Source organism: Homo sapiens, chromosome 18 (assembly GCF_000001405.40).
Source record: "Homo sapiens chromosome 18, GRCh38.p14 Primary Assembly".
NCBI lineage: Eukaryota > Metazoa > Chordata > Mammalia > Primates > Hominidae > Homo > Homo sapiens.
The window spans coordinates 37,824,669-37,836,735 of NC_000018.10; the positions used below are offsets into that span (position 1 = coordinate 37,824,669).

The window sequence follows — 12,067 nt, forward strand, 5'->3', positions numbered from 1 at the left end:
CATTACCATTCAGGACATAGGCGTGGGCAAGGACTTCATGTCCAAAACACCAAAAGCAATGGCAACAAAAGCCAAAATTGACAAATGGGATCTAATTAAACTAAAGAGCTTCTGCACAGCAAAAGAAACTACCATCAGAGTGAACAGGCAACCTACAACATGGGAGAAAATTTTCGCAACCTACTCATCTGACAAAGGGCTAATATCCAGAATCTACAATGAACTCAAACAAATTTACAAGAAAAAAACAAACAACCCCATCAAAAAGTGGGCGAAGGACATGAACAGACACTTCTCAAAAGAAGACATTTATGCAGCCAAAAAACACATGAAAAAATGCTCATCATCACTGGCCATCAGAGAAATGCAAATCAAAACCACTATGAGATATCATCTCACACCAGTTAGAATGGCAATCATTAAAAAGTCAGGAAACAACAGGTGCTGGAGAGGATGTGGAGAAATAGGAACACTTTTACACTGTTGGTGGGACTGTAAACTAGTTCAACCATTGTGGAAGTCAGTGTGGCGATTCCTCAGGGATCTAGAACTAGGAATACCATTTGACCCAGCCATCCCATTACTGGGTATATACCCAAAGGACTATAAATCATGCTGCTATAAAGACACATGCACACGTATGTTTATTGCGGCACTATTCACAATAGCAAAGACTTGGAACCAACCCAAATGTCCAACAATGATAGACTGGATTAAGAAAATGTGGCACATATACACCATGGAATACTATGCAGCCATAAAAAATGATGAGTTCATGTCCTTTGTAGGGACATGGATGAAATTGGAAACCATCACTCTCAGTAAACTATCGCAAGAACAAAAAACCAAACACCACATATTCTCACTCATAGGTGGGAATTGAACAATGAGATCACTTGGACACAGGAAGGGGAATATCACACTCTGGGGACTGTGGTGGGGTCGGGGGAGGGGGGAGGGATAGCATTGGGAGATATACCTAATGCTAGATGACACGTTAGTGGGTGCAGCGCACCAGCATGGCACATGTATACATATGTAACTAACCTGCACAATGTGCACATGTACCCTAAAACTTAGAGTATAATAAAAAAAAAAAATTAAAAAAAAAAAAAAAATAAAACAAAGAATTTTAAAATTAAGCAATGCAAAAGGACATTTTAAGCAAATACTAAGCAATTCTAATTCTTAAGCAAATACTAAGCAATTCTAATTCTTAAGCAAATACTAAGCAATTCTAATTCTTAAGCAAATTAAATGTATACTAATTTTAGACCTTTATAGAGACAGTTAGAGATTTTATCTAAAGAAAATAGAAGGCCCAAATGAATGCAGAGTTATACTATGTTCTTAGGGGGAAGAGTCTGTTTCATAAGGGTGTCAATATACTCTTCAATACTCTGTAATTAAATCCATTTCAATTGCAGTCTTGACAATGTTTTTCATGGAACTTGACAAGGTGCTCTTAAAATTCACATGGAAATAATCAAGGATATTTTAAGAATAATAAGTGAATCTTGCCCTTCAGCTATTAGGAATTAGTAGGAAGTTACAGTAATTAAAATAATGTGGTTTTGGCACAGAGATAAAAAAAATACATCAAATGATAACCACGGCCTAGAAACAGACCCAAGCGTCTATCGAAACTCTGTATATGGTATTATAAAGCAACTGGGAAAGGGTGGACTATTTAATAAATTGCACTACCAGGAATGATTTTCCATGTGGAAATAAATTGGATCCCAATTTCATACCAAAAAGAAGCAAAAATTCATGTGGATTACAGACATAATAGGAAAAGCAAATTTTATTGCTTATAGAAGAGAATATAGAAGCATATCTTTATAATACAGATGTTGGCAAAGATTCTTTAAACAAGACATACAAAGTAGAAATCAAAAAGAAAATATTCTATATTTTCCTCACATTGACTCTTTTTTTTTATACTTTAAGTTTTAGGGTACATGTGCACAACGTGCAGGTTAGTTACATATGTATACATGTGCCATGTTGGTGTGCTGCACCCATTAATTCATCATTTAACATGAGGTATATCTCCTAATGCTATCCCTCCCCCCTCCCCCCACCCCACAACAGGCCCTGGTGTGTGATGTTCCCCTTCCTGTGTCCATGTGTTCTCATTGTTCAATTCCCACCTATGAGTGAGAACATGTGGTGTTTGGTTTTTTGTCCTTGCGATAGTTTGCTGAGAATGATGGTTTCCAGCTTCATCCATATCCCTACAAAGGACATGAACTCATCATTTTTTATGGCTGCATAGTGTTCCATGGTGTATATGTGCCACATTTTCTTAATCCAGTCTATCGTTGTTGGACATTTGGGTTGGTTCCAAGTCTTTGCTATTGTGAATAGTGCCACAATAAACATACGTGTGCATGTGTCTTTATAGCAGCATGATTTATAATCCTTTGGGTATATACCCAGTAGTGGGATGGCTGGGTCAAATGATATTTCTAGTTCTAGATCCCTGAGGAATCGCCGCACTGACTTCCACAATGGTTGAACTAGTTTACAGTCCCACCAACAGTGTAAAAGTGTTCCTGTTTCTCCACATCCTCTCCAGCACCTGTTGTTTCCTGACTTTCTAATGATCTCCACTCTAACTGGTGTGAGATAGTATCTCACTGTGGTTTTGATTTGCATTTCTCTGATGGCCAGTGATGATGAGCATTTTTTCATGTGTGTTTTGGCTGCATAAATATCTTCTTTTGAGAAGTGTCTGTTCATGTCCTTTGCCCACTTTTTGATGGTGTTGTTTGTTTTTTTCTTGTAAATTTGTTTGAGTTCATTGTAGATTCTGGATATTAGCCCTTTGTCAGATGAGTAGATTGCAAAAATTTTCTCCCATTCTGTAGGTTGCCTGTTCACTCTGATGGTAGTTTCTTTTGCTGTGCAGAAGTTCTTTAGTTTAATTAGATCCCATTTGTCAATTTTGTCTTTTGTTTGCCATCGCTTTTGGTGTTTTAGACATGAAGTCCTTGCCCATGCCTATGTCCTGAATGGTATTGCCTAGGTTTTCTTCTAGGGTTTTTATGGTTTTAGATCTAACATTTAAGTCTTTAATCCATCTTGAATTAATTTTTGTATAAGGTGTAAGGAAGGGATCCAGTTTCAGCTTTCTACATATGGCTAGCCAGTTTTCCCAGCACCATTTATTAAATAGGGAATCCTTTCCCCATTGCTTGTTTTTCTCAGGTTTGTCAAAGATCAGATGGTTGCAGATACGTGGCATTATTTCTGAGGGCTCTGTTCTATTCCATTGGTCTGTATCTCTGTTTTGGTACCAGTACCATGCTGTTTTGGTTACTGTAGCCTTGTAGTATAGTTTGAAGTCAGGTAGCGTGATGCCCTCCAGCTTTGTTTTCTTGGCTTAGGATTGACTTGGCAATGCGGGCTCTTTTTTGGTTCCATATGAACTTTAGAGTAGTTTTTTCCAATTCTGTGAAGAAAGTCATTGGTAACACCCATTAACTTGTCATTTAGCATTAGGTATATCTCCTAATGGGTGCAGCACACCAACATGGCACAGGTATACATATGTAATAAACCTGCACGTTGTGCACATGTACCCTAAAACTTAAAGTATAATAATAATAAAATTTAAAAAAAAAGAAAGTCATTGGTAGCTTAATGGGGATGGCATTGAATCTATAAATTACCTCAGGCAGTATGGCTATTTTCACGATATTGATTCTTCCTATCCATGAGCATGGAATGTTCTTCCATTTGTTTGTATCCTCTTTTATTTCATTGAGCAGTGGTTTGTAGTTCTCGTTGAAGAGGTCCTTCACATCCCTTGTAAGTTGGATTCCTAGGTATTTTATTCTCTTTGAAGCAATTGTGAATGGGAGTTCACTCATGATTTGGCTCTCTGTTTGTCTGTTGTTGGTGTATAGGAATGCTTGTGATTTTTGCACATTGATTTTGTATCCTGAGACTTTGCTGAAGTTGCTTATCAGCTTAAGGAGGTTTTGGGCTGAGATGATGGGGTTTTCTAGATATACAGTCATGTCATCTGCAAACAGGAACAATTTGACTTCCTCTTTTCCTAATTGAATACCCTTTATTTCCTTCTCCTGCCTGATTGCCCTGGCCAGAACTTCCAACACAGTGTTGAATAGGAGTGGTGAGAGAGGGCATCCTTGTCTTGTGCCAGTTTTCAAAGGGAATGCTTCCAGTTTTTGCCCATTCAGTATGATATTGGCTGTGGGTTTGTCATAGATAGCTCTTATTATTTTGAGATACGTCCCATCAATACCTAATTTATTGAGAGTTTTTAGCATGAAGCATTGTTGAATTTTGTCAAAGGCCTTTTCTGCATCTATTGAGATAATCATGTGGTTTTTGTCGTTGGTTCTGTTTATATGCTGGATTACGTTTATTGATTTGCGTATGTTGAACCAGCCTTGCATCCCAGGGATGAAGCCCACTTGATCATGGTGGAGAAGCTTTTTATGCGCTGCTGGATTTGGTTTGCCAGTATTTTATTGAGGATTTTTGCATCGATGTTCATCAGGGATATTGGTCTAAAATTCTCTTTTTTTGTTGTGTCTCTGCCAGGCTTTGGTATCAGGTTGATGCTGTCCTCATAAAATGAGTTACGGAGAATTCCCTCTTTTTCTATTGATTGGAATAGTTTCAGAAGGAATGGTACCAGCTCCTCTTTGTACCTATGGTAGAATTTGGCTGTGAATCCATCTGGTCCTGGACTTTTTTTGGTTGGTAAGCTATTAATTATTGCCTCAATTTCAGAGCCTGTTCTTGGTCTATTCAGAGATTCAACTTCTTCCTGGTTTAGTCTTGGGAGGGTGTATGTGTCGAGGAATTTATCCATTTCTTCTAGATTTTCTAGTTTATTTGCTTAGAGATGTTTATAGTGTTCTCTGATGGTAGTTTGTATTTCTGTGGGATCGGTGGTGATATCCCCTTTATCATTTTTTATTGCATCTATTTGATTCTTTTCTCTTTTCTTCTTTATTAGTCTTGCTAGCGGTCTATCAATTTTGTTGATCTTTTCAAAAAACCAGCTCCTGGATTCATTGATTTTTTGAAGGGTTTTTTGTGTCTCTATTTCCTTCAATTCTGCTCTGATCTTAGTTATTTCTTGCCTTCTGCTAGCTTTTGAGTGTGTTTGCTCTTGTTTCTCTAGTTCTTTTAATTGTGATGTTAGGGTGTCAATTTTAGATCTTTCCTGCTTCTCTTGTGGGCATTTAGTGCTATAAATTTCCCTCTACACACTGCTTTGAATGTGTCCCAGAGATTCTGGTATGTTGTGTCTTTGTTCTCATTGGTTTCAAAGAACATCTTCATTTCTGCCTTCATTTCGTTATGTACCCAGTAGTCATTCAGGAGCAGGTTGTTCAGTTTCCATGTAGTTGAGCGGTTTTGAGTGAGTTTCTTAATCCTGAGTTCCAGTTTGATTGCACTGTGGTCTGAGAGACAGTTTGTTATAATTTCTGTTCTTTTACATTTGCTGAGGAATGCTTCCAACTATGTGGTCAGTTTTGGAATAGGTGTGGTGTGGTGCTGAAAAGAATGTATATTCTGTTGATTTGGGGTGGGAGAGAGTTCTGTAGATGTCTATTAGGTCCACTTGGTACAGAGCTGAGTTCAATTCCTGGATATCTTTGTTAACTTTCTGTCTCGTTGATCTGTCTAATGTTGACAGTGGGGTGTTAAAGTCTCCCATTATTATTGTGTGGGAGTCTAAGTCTCTTTGTAGGTCTCTAAGGACTTCCTTTATGAATCTGGGTGCTCCTGTATTGGGTGCATATATATTTAGGAGAGTTAGCTCTTCTTGTTGAATTGATCCCTTTACCATTATGTAATGGCCTTCTTTGTCTCTTTTGATCTTTGTTGGTTTAAAGTCTGTTTTATCCAAGACTAGGATTGCAACCCCTGCCTTTTTTTGTTTTCCATTTGCTTGGTAGATCTCCCTCCATCCCATTATTTTGAGCCTATATGTGTCTCTGCACGTGAGATGGGTTTCCTGAATATGGCATAGTGATGGGTCTTGACTCTTTATCCAATTTGCCAGTCTGTGTCTTTTAATTGGAGCATTTAGCCCATTTACATTTAAGGTTAATATTGTTATGTGTGAATTCGATCCTATCATTATGATGTTAGCTGGTTAGTTTTCCCATTAGTTGATGCAGTTTCTTCCTAGCATCAATGGTCTTTACAGTTTGGCATGTTTTTGCAGTGGCTGGTACTGATTGTTCCTTTCCATATTTAGTGCTTCCTTCAGGAGCTCTTTTAGGGCAGGCCTGGTGGTGACAAAATCACTCAGCATTTGCTTGTCTGTAAAGGATTTTATTTCTCTTTCACTTTGAAGCATAGTTTGGCTGGATATGAAATTCTGAGTTGAAAATTCTTTTCTTTAAGAATGTTGAATATTGGCCCCCACTCTCTTCTGGCTTGTAGAGTTTCTGCCGAGATATCCGCTGTTAGTCTGATGGGCTTCCCTTTGTGGGTAACCCGACCTTTCTCTCTGGCTGCCCTTAACATTTTTTCCTTCATTTCAACTTTGGTGAATCTGACAATTATGTGTCTTGGAGTTGTTCTTCTCAAGGAGTATCTTTGTGGCATTCTCTGTATTTCCTGAATTTTAATGTTGGCCTGCTTTGCTAGATTGGGGAAGTTCTCCTTGATAATATCCTGCAGAGTGTTTTCCAACTTGGTTCCATTCTCCCCGTCACTTTCAGGTACACCAATCAGATGTAGATTTGGTCTTTTCACATAGTCCCATATTTCTTGGGGGCTTTGTTCATTTCTTCTTATTCTTTTTTCTCTAAACTTCTCTTCTCACTTCGTTTCATTCATTTGATCTTCCATCACTGATACCTTTTCTTCCAGTTGATTGAATGGTCTACTGAGGCTTGTGGATTCGTCACGTAGTTCTCATGCCTTGGTTTTCAGCTCCATCAGGTCCTTTAAGGACTTCTCTGCATTGGTTTTTCTAGTTAGCCATTTGTCTAATTTTTTTTCAAGGTTTTTAGCTTCTTTGCCATGGGTTCAAACTTCCTCCTTTAGCTCAGAGTAGTTTGATCATCTAAAGCCTTCTTCTCTCAACTCGTCAAAGTCATTCTCCATCCAGCTTTGTTCTGTTGCTAGTGAGGAGCTGCGTTCCTTTGGAGGAGGAGAGGTGCTCTGATTTTTAGAGTTTCCAGTTTTTCTGCTCTGTTTTTTCCTCATCTTTGTGGTTTTATCTACTTTTGGTCTTTGATGATGGTGATGTACAGATGGGGTTTTGGTGTGGATGTCCTTTCTGTTTGTTAGTTTTCCTTCTAACAGTCAGGACCCTTAGCTGCAGGTCTGTTGGAGTAAGCTGGAGGTCCACTCCAGACCCTGTTTGCCTGGGTATCAGCAGCGGAGGCTGCAGAATAGCGGATATTGGTGAACAGCAAATGTTGCTGCCTGATCATTCCTCTGTAAGTTTTGTCTCAGAGGAGTACCCGGCTGTGTGAGGTGTCAGTCTGCCCCTACTGGGGGGTGACTCCCAGTTAGGCTACTTGGGGAGGCAGTCTGTCTGTTTTCAGATCTCCAGCTGCTGCTTGGGGAGGCAGTCTGTCTGTTCTCAGATCTCCAGCTGCATGCTGGGAGAACCACTACTCTCTTCAAAGCTGTCAGACAGCGACATTTAAGTCTGCAGAGGATTCTGCTGCCTTTTGTTTGGCTATGCCCTGCCCCCAGAGGTGGAGTCTACAGAGGCAGGCAGGCCTCCTTGAGCTGTGGTGGGCTCCACCCAGTTCGAGCTTCCCGGCTGCTTTGTTTACCTACTCAAGCCTCGGCAATGGCGGGCGCCCCTCCCCCAGCCTCACTGCTGACTTGCAGTTTGATCTCAGACTGCTGTGCTAGCAATGAGCGAGGCTCCGTGGGTGTAAGACCCTCTGAGCCAGGCACGGGATATAATCTCCTTGTGTGCCGTTTGCTAAGACCGTTGGAAAAGCGCAGTATTAGGGTGGGAGTGACCCAATTTTCCAGGTGCTGTCTGTCACCCCTTTCTTTGACTAGGAAAGGGAATTCACTGACCCCTTTTGCTTCCTGGGTGAGGCGATGCCTCGCTCTGCTTCGGCTCACGCTCGGTGCGCTGCACCCACTGTCCTGTACCCACTTTCTGACACTCCCCAGTGAGATGAACCCGGTACCACAGTTGGAAATGCAGAAATCCGTCTTCTGCATCGCTCACACTGAGAGCTGTAGACTGGAGCTGTTCCTATTCTGCCATCTTGGTTCCACCCTCTGAATCTTAAATCTTTTGTATGACTGAAGACACCATACACAAAATTCAAAGACAAGCCACACAGCCACACATACGGAGATGTTTCCAGTACCTTTAGTCAGCAAAGGAATGGTAACCAGAATATGTATGTAAATAAGTCTTACAAACCCAAAAGAAAAGCTAAAGAACATAATGGGAACCAGAGCTAAGGAAAATAACCTGTCAATTCATTGAGAAGAAAACTCAGCCAGTAAACATTTGAATAGGAGCACAAATGCATCAGTGATTAATAAGAAGCATTTGAAAACAAATTCCTTTTTACACACCAGGTAAAAAGTTTAATAATTCCAAGTCTTGGTGAAGCTTCAGAGAGACAGGGATTTTTATACACTGTTGACACACAAATAAGTAGGTAACAATGATTTTGGGGAGCAATTTAGCATTGTGCACTAAAGTGAAAGATGCTAATGCTTTATGACCTTAGAATTCTACTATTTGGTGTATATATACTAAAGATACTCAGACCCAGGTGCTGAAGTGAGATTCCCACAAGGAAGTCTTTTTCAGCATGGTTTGTTGTAGCAAATTGAAAACAATATACATGTCTATCAATATGAGAGTGGATAAATAAATTGTATATTATAAATTGTATGTTCACCTAATACACCTGCACAGCTATTACAATGAATGAACTAGGAGTCCTGCACACATGTGGAGCATTTGAAAACCTTAATCTCATGTAAAGTGTGCAGTGCATACAGCTGAAAAGCTTGCAAACAATGTCTATGTTTTTATGGCTATGCACATGTAGTAAAAGTAAAGTCACAAGGAGTGAGGTGGTTACACCTGGGGATAGATGCAGGTGAATGGGATTTGAAGGATTTATAAAGGGAACTTCAGCTGTTTCCATCTGCAACCATCTATTTTCTCAGAAAAAGTGTGATTTGAAGAAAACATGTCAAAATATTAATGTCTATTAGATCTAGATGGTGGGGAATACAAATGATTTTTTCCCCCTCAGGATATATCACAATTTGGATAAAGATGTGGTGAGTGAATAAGTTATAGGAATTTTAAAAAGAAAAAAATAGTGAAGAGTAGTAAGGGGCGTTTAACAGCCAGACACCTCAGCCCTTATTCGTTCTTTCTCACAAATGAATGAATTTGCTGTCCCTGTGGGCTGCCGGGCAACTAAAATCCCTTTATCACAGATCCCAAAGCAGGGATTCTTGCTTTGGGTGAGCTTCTTTTAGACAACTTAGAACTTTAATTTTTTTACAGATTTAATGTGCTAGTGAATCTTTGACCAAAAATATTTGTCAGCATTCCAGGTGTGAATATGATAGAGGCCTTCAGAATGATTGTCTAGGTCGGCTGACCCCAACCTTTTTGGCAGCAGGGACCACTTTCATGGAAGACAATTTTTCCAACAGGGTTTTGAGCTCCTATGGAAATCTAATGCCACCATTGATCTGACAGGAGGCAGAGCTCAGGCAGTAATGCTCTCTTGCCCGCTGCTCACTTCTTGCTGTGTCGCCTGGTTCCTAGCAGGCCACAGACCAGCAGCACTCTGTGACCTGGGGTTTGGGGACCCCGCTCTAGGGTGTTTTGAGTGTAGCAGTTGGCCTGGAGCAGGCATATGTGGAGTGCTGTCAGAATGAATGGGGCAATTTAGAAGAAAAAGCTTTGCTCTGGTCCTCTCCTTTCTCCTTGCTGGTCAGAGCCACTGCCTATTGTGGTTCCTGCCTCAGTAAGTTCTGCTGACTGCCATCCTCCCTGGGCACTCTGCATTGTCCAGTCTGCTATTTTCAGGTGCCTGGTGTATAGACCTTCAGATTATTCTCCTTCAGGACTGTGTATCATTGTGTGAGGGGACTAAAGGCAGCTAAGTTAGAGACTGGAAACTCTGAGTTACTGAATTCATCAGGACTCTTTTGTTGTAAATGACAGAAAACCAACTTAAACAAGCTTAAGTCAACAATAACATATGTGTATGGCAGGGGAGAGTTCTGTCTCTTTTGGCTTACATCATGAAATCCCAAGGAAAAGCAGGCCTGGAATAGAGCCTGCCTCGGGGTTGTGGGGTCAGACTTCACTGGGGCTCCCCATCTCTTCTCTAATTTTGGGGTGACAGCCCAACTAACCTTTTCTTAAGGCAAGAACTATGGCTGCAGGCAAATCCTGGATTACATCCTTCCAAACTCACTACCAGAGAAAAAGGAGGACAGTGCAAATGGTCCCAAATGGCACTGCACTGGGCAGTGCAACCTTCACAAATTTACTTTCCCTGATTAAGTCTGGAAAAATCCCAAGAAATTATTTTGATCAGCCTGGCTTAGGGTACATCTGCACTCTAGCTGTGGGACCTTGACTTAATTTACCTAATTTCTCTTTGTTTTAATTTCCTTTACAAAGGAATAAGAATAATTCTAAGAATAGAATATCCCTCATAAGGTTGTAGGGATGATCCATGCAAAGCATTTAGTACTGTGCTGGGCTCAGGGTAAACAATAAACATGGTACCAAACAAGCCTTAGGCTGATGTCACCAGGCTGGTGAAGAGCTATGAATGCCTGAGCCTGGCTGAAGATGCCTCACCTAGTGCCAGGGGCTATGACCTGTTTGACAAGGATGCTAGGCAGAGCCAAAGGATGGGCACCCTGGTACTTACTCCAGGTTTTCCACTTCTGCTGCTGCAGATGCCCGCTTGGTTCTTGAAGAATGTTCAGGGCTCCAATGCCTCTCTTTCCTCTGATATCTGTGTGCTTAGCATTAGTTTTATTTTCTTTGTTTGTTTTTTGGCAGGCCTTCAGGGGGTCTGATGCACTATTGTCCTGAACTCTACTGCTTTGAATGCATGGCTTGGTGGGTTATAGCTCCTTATCTGCTCCTTGAAGTGAGTGATAGCTACAAATGGTCCCTGGATTCAGGCATCCCTGGCCCATACATCTCTCCACCTAACCCTTAACCTCAGCTCCTAAGGCTTGACTGCTGAATGAATGTTCTGTCAACTGGATACCTCTGGTAAGATAAAACAAGGGGTGGAAGGGCATTCCTTTTGTCAAGGCACCCTGGGTAGACAAGTGTTTACTCACTTAACTAGAGAAGTACAGGCATTTATACATATCTGTGCTGGAAAAGATTGCAGAAAGTTAAAGGTGTCAATTAAAAGTAAAATTTTAAGCCTCTCAATTACTGAACAGACCATCTCTTGGCCAAAGGGATGGCAGAGTAACCTTGAAAACTGAATTCTTTGCCATGGGGGATGGGGGATCAGACATGCCTCATTATACCCCCTCCCTTGCTAACCATCATGAGGCTTTCTTCCCTAAGGGTTAAACAGAAACCAGCCCTTTCAAAAGACTCCACCACTGGTATCAATCAACTGCCTGATTCTGCCCCTCCTTTTTTGCCTGATAAGAGACTACTGGCCAGAGAGTGGTTTAGGCCAGTCTAAGGAGAATGCAAAGTAAGGCTTTTTGTGACCCATGCCTCACCTATTGATGTCAGAGGGCCAAAAACTCTACCCTCAGATCATGAAAATGCTGCCATTTTTTGAACATGGGTCCTGTGGAGGGGCATGAAGCTGAATTGCACATGCACACATTTCTCCTTTTGTAAATATTAATGACTCCTCCTATAGCTTATTGAATATGTATTTTTGGCCACTGCTCTCAGCATAAATTCCTGTTCCCTTTGCCTCTTCCTTGAAGTGTCTGCTTTCGGCTTCTGGCCAGAGGCTATGCTTCCCAGCCTGTCAGAATGGCCAGCCTGCAGCCTGAAACCCTTTATGAGAAATAAAGCTCTCATTTCCAAATTTATGAG

At 40.9% G+C, this 12,067-nt stretch overlaps 1 annotated feature.

Moving 5' to 3' along the window:
* Positions 10,869-11,793: an enhancer, noted in NCBI's record as "NANOG hESC enhancer chr18:35415501-35416425 (GRCh37/hg19 assembly coordinates)". NCBI's record gives its function as "activates a minimal SCP1, AML or CMV promoter by ChIP-STARR-seq in primed H9 embryonic stem cells {active_cell/tissue: H9 hESC(primed)}" and the evidence as "EXISTENCE:reporter gene assay evidence [ECO:0000049][PMID:30033119]".